This window comes from Homo sapiens, chromosome 8 (assembly GCF_000001405.40).
Source record: "Homo sapiens chromosome 8, GRCh38.p14 Primary Assembly".
In the NCBI taxonomy this organism is placed as follows: Eukaryota; Metazoa; Chordata; class Mammalia; order Primates; family Hominidae; genus Homo; species Homo sapiens.
Genome location: NC_000008.11, coordinates 74,807,591 through 74,822,731, shown reverse-complemented (window position 1 = coordinate 74,822,731; position 15,141 = coordinate 74,807,591). Strand labels below are relative to the sequence as shown.

General features: G+C 38.1%; 1 annotated feature.

The window, feature by feature from the left end:
- Positions 14,381 to 14,918: an enhancer, noted in NCBI's record as "OCT4-NANOG hESC enhancer chr8:75720049-75720586 (GRCh37/hg19 assembly coordinates)". NCBI's record gives its function as "activates a minimal SCP1, AML or CMV promoter by ChIP-STARR-seq in naive and primed H9 embryonic stem cells {active_cell/tissue: H9 hESC(naive and primed)}" and the evidence as "EXISTENCE:reporter gene assay evidence [ECO:0000049][PMID:30033119]".

Genomic DNA, 15,141 nt, shown 5'->3' with positions numbered 1-15,141 from the left:
TGGCAGCACACATTAGCCTTTACTCTCTACATATCTCACACAGTTTCCCAGCTATCTGAGGAACAAAAGGACTTTTAATACCTGAACAGCAGTCATGAGCCTTTCATTCTCCAGGGTGACTGAGTTCTTGCTTAGAACCTCATAAGAATCGAAAGTTATATTTAAGACTACACCCTTTGTCATATACACAAAGAGGTATTGTCCACCTCTTGGGGTTTGACTTGAAAGATTTCCATAGGGATAAAAATGTGATGCTTGACAAACTTGTCTAAACCAAAAATGGATTTCCTCTAAGTGCAGGAAGTGGCTGGATGGAGGAGGAGGAGAAGGAATTTCTGAGATGCATCTAAACAGGAGATCACCTCTGAGTCCAATTACATAAGGGCAGAGCTGATAGTTGCTTAATCCGGAGACCCTGAGGCATGTCAATGATTTCAAATGTCTTTCAGCACACATGGATTATATTGTGGAATTTCGGACTATTAAGGAAACCCACAAGGCTATGGAATCATAAAAGAAAAGACCTGTGGGAGGAGAGTTAAGAATTCTGCTTCCAAGCAGACATTATTGCCAGAAGAAGTATTTGAAATGCTTTGGAGGTAATTGTAATTTTAAAATACTTGCAAAATTAAGAGGCATACATCCAAGTTGTCAGTAAGAGGACTGCTAATGAACAACTAACAATGAGGTGGTTTTTTTTATGAGGACTCTTCTTGAAAAAGACCATTGACATGTTTTGAAACCTTTAGGTCCTGCTTGCCAACAGAGACAGAAATGGAATGTAGTTATATTACTGAGAAGAAATGCATACACATTTGGCAGCATCTTGAAACCTGTGAGAAAATGGTTGTTATTTTAAAATGGAAATCAGATGTAAGCATTCCAGAATGGTACACCTGCTTAAGCAAAGCTACTTTGACGTGTGTGTGTGTGTGTGTGTGTGTGTGTGTGTGTGTGTGTGTGTATGTATGTGTGTATGTGTCACATATGCATTTGACTTTAGTCTAATTCTTTTCTAATTGAAATATGTTCTGTGGACTAGTACCCTTGAGATCACCTGGAAGCTTGTTAGAAATGCAGAATTTCAGGTCCAGCCAAGACCCACTAAATCAGAATCTTCATTTTATCAGGAATCTTGGATGATTCATATGCACATTAAGGTTTGAGAAGTACTATCTAAATCACTATGCTTCCAGAGACACAGAGAGACAATCTACTGCACACATGCCTGAATCAGCTATTGGAAAAGGCGATCTATCTAATAACATGGAGAGAACAAAAGACAATAGAGGTAGGCCCAAGTGTCTTTGAAGTGGAGAACACAAGTCAACCTCTATTTTATATGAAAAAAAAAATGGGCTGGGCACGGTGGCTCACTCCTGTAATCCAAATACTTTGGGAGGCCGAGGCTGGCGGATCACCTGAGGTCAGGAGTTCAAGACCAGCCTGACCAACATGGTGAAACGCCGTCTCTACTAAAAATACAAAAATTAGCCAGGTATGGTGGCAGCGCCTGTAGTCCCAGCTACTCAGGAGGCCGAGGAAGGAGAATTGCTTGAACCTGGAAGGCGGAGTTTGCAATAAGCCAAGATCACACCACTGCACTCCAGCCTGGGTGACAGAGGGAGACTCAGTCTCAAAAAAAAAAAAAAAAAAAAAAAACCAAAAAAAACGGGAAAAGAACACTCAGCATCTTACAAAGAAGTTATTTAGCAGTGGTGAGAACCTTTGCAAGATTACTATGTAAAGCATATTTTTAATTTAATACATATTAATTCATCACAAGATTGCTGAAACAACAAAATGCACTATATGTGAAAGGGCTCATAAACTGTGATGTGGCATATAAATAAAAAGCTATTATTTTATTCTGTCTCCCTAAGACAGAGGCCCAAATCATCCTTTGTTCCTCACTCTCTCACCTTGTTTCATACAATCAATAACTCTGGAAAACGTGTATTTTTAATCTCTGACCTGTTTTGCCAATCTACCCTTTTTATCATCATCATTGTTATTGTGACTGCTTAAAAGTTAATGCCATTATCTTTTTCTAGAATTAGAAGAATCACCTTCTAGCTGATATTTCTTACTCTAGTGACTCTCCTCCTATCCATTATTCACACTGCTTTCAGCTCCCTTCCTATAAAAGAAACTGAATCATTTAACTCATCTACATATAACTCTCTACTGGCTCTCCATTGTCCACAGGGCCAAGTTCAACTGCCTTGACCTGCCTTACAAGAGCCTCGACTATTAACACACAAAGCATATTTTCAAATTTGAGTGCTCTGTGTAATTCACATTATATATTTTAGGATATAAATATATATCATTACATATTTACATATTATATCTATTATACATTTATATAATAAATATATAATTATAAAATGCCAAAATACTGTATTACCAAAATATTTGAGAAATTTTATAAAATATATATGTATTACAATCTATTCCTATGCATGCAGCTTAAATGGGGCTGGAGGATTAACTTCCAGGGTGGCTCATCCACACGACTGGCAACTGAGTGCTTCTGGCAGGAGGCCAGCATACATGGACCCCACCACACAGACCTCTCCATTGAGCTGTCTGATCGTCCTCACTGCATTGAAGCTGGCTTCCTCCAGGGTGAATGATCCAAGCAGGAGCAAGATAGAAGATACAATGTGTTGTATGGCCTACCTGTAGAAGTAACACACCAGCATTTTCACAACATCTTATTGTTAACATGGGTCACTCGAACCTATTCAATGTGAGAGAGGACTACACAAAGCCATGAACCAGTAATTGAGAATTATTGAGGGTCATCTTGAAGGCTGGCTACAACAGGGAAATTTTGGAAAATAGCTGAAACAGAACTACAATTAGACCCAGCAATCCCATTACTGGATATACACCCAAAGGAAAAATAACATTCTACAGAAAAGACACATGCACTCATATGTTCATTGCAGCACTACTACAATAGCAAAGATATGGAATCAACCTAGATGCCCAACAATGGTGGATTGGATAAAGAAAATGTGGTCTATATACTCCATGAAATACTACCCAGGCATAAGAAGAATGAAATCATGTCCTTTACAGCAACATGGGTGCAGCTGCAGGTCATTATCCTAAGCCAATTAACACAGGAACAGAAGACCAAATACCACATGTTCTCACTTATAGTGGGAACTAAGCACTGAGTTCACATGAACATGAAGACAGGAATAATAGACACTGGAGTCTACGGAGGAAGAAAGAGAGCCATGGATTGAAAAATTACCTATTGGGTACATGCTCACTACCTGGGTGATGGGATCATCCATACCCCAAACCTCAACATCACTTAATAGACCCGTGTAAAAAACCCTCACATGTACCCCCAAATCTAAATAAAATTTGAAAGTATTTTTAATGAAAATAGCTATCTAAAAAATAAAGAAATATCTATATTACTTGGAAATATGGAGTTAACCACCAATAAGAAATTTTTTAAAAAGGTAAAAGTGGTTGCTTCCTGAAAGCAGAAATATAGATGGGAGTGAGCAACATGGGATTATTGTATTTTTTATTTTAACTTTATAGAACTATTTGACTTCGAAAATTATATGCATTTGCAACTTTAACATAAAAGGTAATTACTAATTAATATAAATTAATTTGGTAAACAGTGCAGATTAAAGTATGTTCAATGAACTACTAAACACATAACAAAACTTGAGATGTAGATAAAACTGAAACCACATTTGAGTTTGCCTGGTATCTCTCTCATTGGGTTTGGTTATGTTACAGAAGTTTCTAACTGGCTGGAGCTTTAATCTTAATTCAGTCGCCTTACTCTGAAAATAACCCTTCAATGTTTTAAATGATCCTTGTCTAACTTTCTTGTTCTACTGAGTTTGAGACTATCCTTTTATCTTCCAGTTCAATGAAGGAAATGAGGCCCTGAATTAGCATGTATATGGCTGTTCCTCAGTACAGTAGCATGGCCCCAGATAAAGAGGGGGTAACCTTCACACTTCAGTTTTCTAATCAATACTTAAAATGCACACATCTTTTTCTCTCTGTTTGCTAGGTATCCTTCAGAAAGCCTGGGCAATAAACCGAAGGCTCCTAAAAAGAGCAAAGTGTCTGGTGAGTCAAGCAGAATCTCAAAGCTGAACTAAATTTGGTGAATCTGGACTTTGCCAGCCCTGAAGAAGAATAAGCATGAAGGAACTCTTCAAGTAGCTAGTGCATTTGTGTTGCTGTCAGCAAAATAGCCAGTTGGAGAGCTATGCTGTTCTCCACTAAAAGAATTGTAGAACCATTGGGCTTTAATAGATTTGAAAGACTGTATAATTGAATTTATAATCATCTGGCTTAGAAAATATGCAAAATCACATTCATAGTGAGCAGATGAGTTATGGTATCCGTGGACAATTCTGATAGGAAATATTGGTTATATCTGGTGAAACCCATGATAAACCAAAGGCACGTTAAGGGCAGATGGTTGGAGTTGGGGTATGAGTGTTGGTCATACGGTGGAGGGGAAAAGAGTAGGATGTTAGGATCATGCAGAAATTATGTGGTTGCCCTACAGAAATGATAAGCCATAAAGTTCTACTCTGGCCAGTGTTTTAAGTCGATGCTAGAAAAGAAAAACAATAGTGGCACAGGGGTTGGTTATTTGTTTTCCACAGGCCAAGAATATGTCAAAATAAAGCCCAATAGGATGTATATTCAGTGGTCAAGTAGACTGAGAGATGTTAACACACTTATTCATGGCATCATTTCAGATTTTGCCTATAGTAGGCATTCAAAAGATGTTTGTTAAATTTTATAAATAAACAAAAGCTATATCAGCATGGCCTTTTTCTAATCCAAAACCTGGGCACACAGCCAGGATAAACTTAAGCTGTCCAAAAGCCATGTGCGCTCTCGCCAGAATCATCAATTCTCTCCAGTCATTTCACTATGAAGAAGGCCTGGATGAACTTAATGGGAAAGTCCCATTAGCTGCCACTCTTGGATTGCATATCTACGTATCCTTCAGATTTCATGTCCCTGATATATTTGTGTTCTTGCTAGTCCTGATTTTAAATTATTGCTTTTCCTTTTAATATTGTTCTGATTTATTTTTATATGTTACTCAATATTCTTTAATGACAGCAAATAATGATAAAAATAATAGCTGCCATGGCCTATTGAGGCTTCCTATGACAGAAACTCTTCTAAGATAAAATTTCATCCTCATGACAACTCATAACCTTTGAGAAAGTTTCCATAGATTTCTATTTTACTACTAAAAATACTGTGGTTTAGTGAGATTATGCAATTAACTCAAATTCACAAAGATAGGAAATGCTTCAGCTGGGATGCAAACCTCTATCTAAGAGAAAAACCCGATTTCCTCATTGCTATATATACCATTAATTTGGAGCAAAGCAGAATCACTTAAAAATCCTTTTAAGTGATGATTAAATAAATCATCAATTGTTAAACAATGATTAGATTCCTAATTATTTTCAGTCATTTGTTTACCACTAAATATAACAATAGTAGTAATAATAATAATGATAACCCATCTGCCTGTGTTCTTAAGTGTCTTATATATTAGTTGTGGAAATAAGACATATATGATGAACTGTTAAAAACTATAGAAGAGAATTTATACCTAAATATGTTCATGTATTAAGTAGTACAAGAAAGTCATCTGGAAATTTTAAAATGAAAGGAAATCTGCAAATATTAAGTCAACTGGGCATTTCTTTTCAGGAAATGAAAATTAAGCTGAATCTGAAGGGTGCTAAGAACAAAATTGATGGAGGTGAAGACAGAGACTTCTACATAAAGGAAATAGTTAGAAATTAAGCACAGAGACAAAAATAAAAGACAGTGTTTTGTAGGGGCAGAGTGATTGGGCATAGCCAAGAAACAGGATATATTAAGTAGATTGATAATAAGGTTTAAATGCTTCAAAAGTTCTAAGCTTAGATGCTTGGAAACAAAATTTGACCAAGAATTTGGGTAATAAATTTGAAGAATAAAATGAGAAGCTTAATTTGCATGTGTTCAGTTTAAAATGATATCCGGTTGGAAATACCAAATTGTAGAGCTGGAGACATTGTACTGGGAATTGAGTAATGGTCAGGATTTATTACACTGGGACAGAAGAGACCAACACATAGAATACACTGAAGGTCAGGTTCTGTCCAGAAACCACTCAACACCAGAGCATTAATGAATATGTGAATAAGTAAGTGCATCTTCTTAGCTCAGGCATGGAAACTGATTTAAAATGTAAGAAGTCTGTATGGATGGGAGAAAGAAGTGGAAATCAATTTAAGGGAAAAAAAGCAAAATCAGAATATACAATCTCTCTTCTGAGGCCCTAGTCATATGTTGCTAACTATAGAGGAGTCATTAGATAAAAGTGTGTACATTTGGAAGCAAACAAAGACTGCATCCCATGAGATTTCAGAAGCTATGATTATTATAAAGAGCAATAGACTCTCAAAAATACTCTTAAAATACTATACATAAAAATAGCTAGTATTTAAAGGCTCATAAAATTCTTGAACAGGTATTAGCCATTTAAGAAGTGATGGTAGAAAGAGAAATGTATAGGTCAGAGAACAGTCCTTGGAAAATGAAAGGAGTTAGGAAGTAAAAGAAAGAAAATCAAGGGAAATAAATGAAAGAATGACAGAGAAGAAGAAGGAACTATGTTGGCATTTTTGTAACCATGATCATACTCATGTTTCACTCTACCTTATCTGCATTTAAAGATATATAAAAATAAATAAATATAGTATAATAAGCTATATAATATAATATCCTAGAAATAATGGCCTTGAATATTGTGAAGATGTCATTGTGTTAGGCTGGTGATCCATGGATATATAGTGATTATTTGTAATGTGTTTTGAAGAAATTTCAAGATTCTACTTACTACCTAATCTCCCCACTATTCACCCCCTCCCTCCCTGCCCTTTCACCAGTGAAAATGCCCAAATTTAGAGTCCCTCATGACACAGTCAAGAAATGCAAAGCAAATGTGTACAAAAGGCAATATTAAAATGCATTTATGATACTTTCCACCTTCTTTTCCCATCCATACACAGATACCATAAGTTAATTCTTCCAACATATACCTTGAAAGTCATAGATGATTTGTCCCCAGAGGACCTCTCAATCCCCACTCCACCCGCACCTTGTAATTGGCCTTACCTTTTCAATTCTCTTAGAGCAGAGGCTCTCAAACTTGAGCATTTATCAGCATTACCTGGAGGGCTTGTTAACACACCATTAACTGGTTTAGAGTTTCTGATTTAGTAGGACTGGAGTGGGCTCAAAAATTTATTCTTCTAACTTATTCTCAGTTGTTGATGACACTGCTGGTCTGGGGACCACAAGAACAACTGGCTTAGAAGAATATATACAGTTATAGTCGCCAGTTAATTTCACACTCACCTCCTTCACCAGGTAATATGATAAGGAGAAGACTGTCTCATTTATCCCTGGACTCCCCCTAGGCTGACACATACCTAGCACAATAGTAAGCATGGGCTGAATTAATGAATAAACGAACAAATTTACTCTCATTTCTATCTCACAACATTGTTTGTGTGTGTGTGTGCCTATGTCTAATTTAGTATCCCTCACCCCCATTCTTAGAGAAATACATCTTTTTTTCTCTTAAAATTAAATCTTCAAACTTGCAACCTTGTTTTCTTGCATTTCTGAAAGAAATAAATGTGGAAGGGAGGCATCTCACTCACAATGAAGCATATCACATCTACAAGTATTCCTTCCCTTCCCAGCCTTTTCAGTAGACTTTCTCTACAATTTTTACTTTTCCATGACTCAAATTTTTCACAAGTTCTACTTATTTCAGGACAGTTTTTGAATAAGTTTAATTTGCCCCTCCTCACTTTTACCTTGTAACTTTTGGTATCCCTTAAATCAGGGTTCTCCCACTGGTTCCAGTCCATGGCCCATTGGGAACTGGGCAGTACAGCAGGAGATGAGCGGCAGGCGAGCCGGCAAAGCTTCGTGTGTATTTACAGGGGCTCCCCATCTCTTATATTACTGCCTGAGCCCTGCCTCCTGTCAGATCAAAAGCAGCATTAGATCCTCATAGGAGCATGAACCCTATTGTTAACTGTGCATGCAAGGGATCTAGGTTGTGCACTCCTTAAGAGAATCCAATGCCTGATGATCTGTCACTGTTTCCCATCAACCCCAGATGGGACCATCTAGCTGTGAGAAAACAAGCTCAGGGCTCCCACTGATCCTACATTACAGTAAATCGTATAATTATTTCATTATATACTACAATGCAATAATAATAGAAATAAAGTGTACAATATGTACTTGAATCAACCCCCTCCCTCGTCTGTGGAAAAATTGTCTTCCATGAAACCAGTCTCTGGTGCCAAAAAGGTTGGGGACCACTGCCTTAAATCTCAGGCCTTGAGTCCCTTATCTCTTAATAGTACTTCTCTAAGAAAATTGTCTATAGGTCTTTATCTTCAGACTAAACTTTTCACTCAAATTCCAACCTCATACTCCACACTACCTTCTAAGAGATAACTTCAAACTCAATAATACCAGAATAGACTACAGGTATACCTCTGAGATATTGTAGATTCAGTTTCAGATCACCACAATAAAGTGGATATCAATGAGTCACATGAATTTTTTGTTTTCCCAGTGAATATAAAAAGTTATGTTTACACTATACTATATTATATTAAATGCTCAAATAGCATTATGCCTAAAAATGTGCATACCTTAATTTAAAAATACTTTATTGCTAAAAAATGCTCCCTATCATGTGAGCCTTTAGCAACATGGTAATCTTTTTGCTGATGGAGGGTCTCATCTCAATGTTGACAGTTGCTGATTGATCAGGGTGGTGGTTGCTGAAGTTTGGAGTTGCTGTGGAAATTTCTTAAAATAAGACAACAATAAAGCTTGTCCCCTCAGTTGACTCTTCCTTTCACAAAATATTTCTCTGTGGTGTGCAATACTGTTTGATAGCATTTTACTCATGGTAGAAATTCTTTTATAATTGATGTCAATTATCTCAAATCCTGATGCTGCTTTATAAACTAAGTTTATGAAATATTATAAATTATTTGTTTTCATTTCAACAATATTCACAACATCTTTACCATGAGTAGATTTCATCTTAAGAAATCAGTTTCTTTGCTTATTCATAAGAAGCAGCTCATCTGTTCAAATTTGATCATGAGATGGAAGAAATTCAGTTACATCTTCTGGCTTCACTTCCAATTCTAGTTCTCTTGCTTTTTCTACCACATCTGCGGCTACTTCCTCTACTTAAATCTTGATTCCCTCAAAGTCACCCATAAGGGTTAGAATCAACTCATTCCAATTCCTGTTAATGTGACTGTTTTGACCTCATCCCATGAATCATAAGTGTTCTTAATGGCATCTGGAATGATAAATCCTTTCCAGACGGTTTTTAATTTAGTTTGCCCAGATCCATCAGAGGATTCACTATCTACAGCAGCTATAGCCTTACAAAATGTATTTCTTGAATAATAAGATGTGAAAGTAAAAATTACTTCTTGACCTGTGGGCTGCAGAATGGATGTTGTGTTAGCAGGCATGAAAGCAACATGAATCCCCTTGTGCATCTCCATCAGAGTTCTTGGGTAACTAGGTGCATTGTCAATAAGCAGTAATATTTTGAAGGAAATCTTTTTCTCTGAGCAGTAGGTCCCAATCGTGGGCTTAAAATATTCAGTCAGCCATGTTTTACACTGATGTGCTGTCATCCAGCCTTCACAGTATGTCTCCCCAGTGGTGTAAACTCATTTTCTCTTCACCTCTGCAGATCTTTCCTACAAGCTATCTAAACACTTCCACAAGTTGTCTCATGTCTTTTGTTTCAAAACCTTTTTGGGGACAACATGAAGTAGTGCAAACCAATGTTTATCTCACTTCTCTGAATTATCCTATAGATGACACCACTCTATTTTGTATTTGACTAAATACTTTATTATTCCTTCTCTGTTTTATGTGGATCAATCTGCTAACTACCACACAACCACAATTATTTTTTTCTTGGTGGACAAAGACTATAATCGTCTCTGCCCCCATAGTATCTAGAAAAGTAATCTGTACATAATATAGACTCAATAAATAGTTTTTGGTTGTTCAGTTATTTACACATCTGAAAGTTAAAGACAATAATGACCTTAGTATGAGTGAAAGAAAATGATACAAAAATCTTTGCATTCTGATTAAACTAAACTCTTGAAAACTCAAATGACAGGTACCTTTTATGTGTGCCCCTTTAACATCTCAAGTCAAATTGTCCTTCACAAACCACAATGTGCAATATCTATCTCTGATTAACAGTAACTAAAGCAAAGAGTACAATTTCCCAACATTGTGGTGGAAAAATCATCCCATATTACCCACTTTTCTTGTAATTTTCAGTCATTTATTAAACAGAGGGTTTTTTAAGTGTACATACTCCCACTACAATGTAACGTCAGCAGTGTAATCCCTTAACTCCCCCATATTTGTATACTTGGCCAAAGACCACATCCTCAAGCCAACTTTTCAAGGATCTGAAGAGTAACAAGTGGTACCCAAAAGCTGAAAAAACCTATAACATAGAAAAATATATTTTTCTTTTCCAGGAGATGGTGGCAATTAAGCCATAAGAATTCTTTCTTCTGTTTTACTAGCTCTAGGATATCTCCAGCTTATTCAAGTGTCAGCCTCACATTTACCACAATCTTTTCCTATATTAGGGGAGGGAAGTGAAAGGCAGCCTAGCAGGGCAGTTGAGAGCACATCCTCTGGAAACACACAGCCACCTCCAGCATATGTCCAGCCCCACTGTTTCCCAGCTGCAGGCTTGTCAGCAAGTCACCTAACCTTCTTAAACCTGATTTTTTTTTCCTCTTTAAAAAAGGGATAATAATCTACCTCCCTGGGTTGTTGTGAGAATTAAAAAGAAGTAACATACAAAAAGCACTTGGCACACAATTATACACACATGTACATATGATATAGCACATATAGGGCATTTCTGCTGGTGTCCAAGAACCCTGAGGGGAGGGGGGAAATTGTGAGAGTGAGGAGGTGGGAGGGCAAGGGATGAAAGGAAGGAGAATGTCCAGATTTTTGAAGGAAGAGGAGAAGAAACATGTTCTGACAATTTTCTAACTTTAAAAATTGTGCATGGTTGGGAAGGTCATCATAAAGGGAGTAATAGAATTACATTTTTGACAAAAGTGAACTTAGTGTAGTGAAAGAGAGAATAAAAATGGGTTGAAAGGAAACAACTCTATACCTAAGGGTCACAGTCTCTCACACTGTTCATATGCCATTGTCAGCCTCAGTGTGAGGTGGTCAGACCAGCTGCCAGAGGAGCCTATGCCAATTCCTGAAGAAGGTGGATACTTGGAAAAGTGGAGGAAGAAACTGACAAGGAGAAGGGAAGAAGGCATGCGTAGGGTAAATAGGCAGTCAAGAGATTCGGTGGGAACATCTGTGAAATCCCAGATGTCTAGACACATCAGTGAGGTCTCAGTGTCACACTGTCCCAGCACATTGAGTAACATTTAGAACTGGACAAACACAAGTGTCCTTTGGTCTTTCTCCTTGCTTTATTTTCCCACCAATAGTGATTGCCTCTGTGCTCACAGAATATCTGTGCATCATCTGAGCTACATTAGTCCATCAAATGATGCACTTGTTCAGAAAGAGGTCCATGTGATTGTCCAAATGTTCAGGCCAACTTCAGAGAAGGCCAAGCAAGATCCACTTCAACAGATCATAATTTATACTGGCAGCTGGACAAACAAAAGCAGAGTGACGCATGAACCAGCTTAAGAAAATTGCCAATCCTCCACCAACTGCTTGTTATATTACTCTTAAATGTTTCTAAATAGGTCAGTTAGAATAACATCATGTGGGCCATAGTAAGTCAGAAGAAAATAAATGTCACTTTTAGCAAGTTGAATTCTTCTAAATACCTTTGGTCCTTTTATTTAACTATCATCCGGCTGAGGGTAAAAAACAAAATTGTCATGTTTTTGTAGTGCTCAGCAGTTTCAATGATTCACATTTCAATGTGGCCCTGTGACAGCTATGGGTCTTTTCCAGGTGGTTTTTGGCACTACCTACATCCCTGGTCACACAATGTATTTTGCCTTGGAGACTGGAATAATAATAACAATGACCCCATCTCTCGGAGAACCACAACTTCACTCTGGCAGAGGTTCTGAGCCAAAAGCTCTGAGATCCTGAGCTCTAGGAGAGAAAGGAGGTCCAGAGTCTTGGGTCACCCAGCCTCTCCTTCCTCGATATTCAAATGACAAGATAATCCCTGGAAGTGTCCCAAATCAGTTCTCTGGCTGAAGTTGGACCTCATGTCAGAAGTGATCTCTAATGAGATTTTAGCCAAATGGAGTTGTGTTAATGGCTTTGCACATTTGGAAATGCAACCAAAATAAATTTGTCAGCACTGAAAACTGTAAAGGGCAGCTGCCTTTTTTTTTTTCTTGGCTTGTATATTCTGTTCTATCTGTGATGCTACCAAAGGGAAGAAATTAGTAGGATCCATTTTTGAGGTAAGAAAATAGCAAAATTATAAAGGGGGAAAGGAGCTGAAGTGGCATATTTTTCTCTTGATATTATGATAGTGTATGATAATCATGCCCTCTTTCAATATAGAAAACAGTGGTCTCTAACCACTCCTGAACACCACTAATATTTGCGCAAAGACTAAATATGAACCCATAGAACTGGCTCAAAACCCACATCACGGGCCTGCCCTTGTCTTATCTACAGTAAAGAGGGCACTATATGTTGGTTGGTTTGTTAGTGGTGGCAGGTATCTGAGTTACCAGCTGTTAACCTGTATGGGTCTGCAGCAACCTCAATTCTTGCCTCTTCAGAAAAAAGAATACAACTGAGGGGCATAAGGTAGGAGAAGAGACCAAGGCAAGTTTTAGAGCAAGAGTAAAAGTTTATTAAAAAGCTTTAGAGCAGGAATGAAAAGAAAGTAAAGTATACTTCGAAGAGGGCCAAGCGGGCATCTTGGAGGACAAGTTCGGGATTTGACATTTTGACTTGGGTTGTATATGGTGGCATACTTCTGGAGTCTTGCATCTCTTCTCCCTGATTCTTCCCTTGGCGGGGGTTGTCTGCATGTGCAATGGCCTTCTAGCGCTTGGGAAGGGAGCATGTACAGTGTGTTTATTGGAGTTGTATGCATGCTCACTTGAGGTGTTCCTCCATTTACCAGTGGAATGTCCCCAGAAGGTCACATACCAGTTAAACCTCACCATTTTGCCTCTTAGTGAACAAGCTTCAGCCTACTCGCCCAGCTCCTGAGATCTTATTGGGAAGTTGCTGATCACCAGTTACAGGTGTTTCTATCTATTACGAAACTGCCTTTCCCTGCAGCAGGCTGCAACCAGTTATTATTTTAGAGAGCCACTGTGAAAACTGCCTGACCATCACCTGATGGTTGCCTCACATTCCTAGTGGGGTGGGGGACAGCCCTCTCCTGCCCTCCTCATGCCCGCTAGCTACCTACTCTAACATGTTCTTCACACATCATTTAGGTAAAATCAAGATCATTAGTGCAGCTGTTTTTCAATAGATAGCTATCCTTTAATATATTTCTAGCCAAATATATTTTATATGTACTTCAGAATATGATACCTTTGAAAAGTATAATTTAAATAGCAGTATAAAACCTTTGGCAAACGTTTATTGAATTATAAATATGAATGAAATATAAATAAATTATAAATAAATGCTGGCCACTGAAGATTCACACATGGATAGACCCAGTCCCTTCCTTCAAGCAACTCATGCTTGAGTAAGGCAAAAGATATACACAGTAGTCATAGCTCAAGGAAAGGTTAATCAGTAAAATTTTAAAAGTAAAAACATAGCATTATCAAGTATGTGAGTGATCATTTCTAACTACCACAATAGGGAAAACTTCATAGAAAAAAAGCATTTCATCAGAATAATGAGAGAAAAATAGAATTTCAACAGAGAGGGGTATGGATATGTGGGTTATTCTTGCCCACTGCACAAAGAAAAACCACAGCATTGTGGTAGAGAGAGAGTAATTTTTAACCGCCCAAGGGGTTCTCCTTGCCTGTTACATAAAGACATACCATGGTATTGCAAATAGAGAAAGAATATAATGGACGTGAGGCTGACCATGCCATATGGGAAATGGAGTTTGTACTCAAATCATCTCCTCCAAAGCTGTTAGGTTAGGGATTTTCCCAAAGGCAGTTTAGGAGAAGGGGTTAGGGTGGCCAGGTACTTGCTGCTGATTGGTTCTGACAGAGATGAAATCATGGGGAGTGGAAGCTGTCCTCCTGTGGGCTGAATCGTTTCTGAATGGGGCCACAGGAATGAGGTTGGTGGGTCCAGGTAGAGCCATGGGTGTCAGGCATGCAAAAAACCTGAGAAGGTATCTCAAAAGGCCAATCTACAATAGTGGGTGTTTTTTGCAGGAGTAACTGGGGAAGTTGCATATCTTATAACCTCTGCAATAATGGCTGACGATCATTTATGTCTGCACCCCAGCAACACTCAGGCTCCTCTCCTCTCCCCAGCCTGATGGCCTCCCATTAGCTTTACAAAAGCAGTTGAGTTTTGGGCAAGGCCTATTATCATTGAAACTATAGCCTAAATGTCTTCCAAAGTTAGCTTGGCCCAATAGCCCAGGAATGATTAGGGGAAAGGCAAGACTCCTGTTGGGTGGGTTAGCTCAGATCTCTTTCACTGTCATTATTTTCTCACTGATATAATTTTTGCAAAGCCAGTTTTTTCAGATTGTTACAGGAAAGGGGTCCAGATCCAGATGCCCAGAGAGGATTCTTGGATCTTACGCCAGAAAGAATTCAGGGCTAGTCTGTAAAGTGAAAGCAAGTTTATTAGGAAAGTAAAGGAACAAAAGAATGTCTACTCCACAGACAGAGTAGCTCCGAGGGCTGCTGGTTGCCCACTTTTATGGTTATTTCTGAATTACTTGCTAAACAATGGGTGGATTATTCATGACTCCCTTTTTAGACCATGTAGGGTAACTTCCTGACATTGCCATGGCATTTGTAAACTGTCACGGCACTGGTGGGAATGTAGCAATGA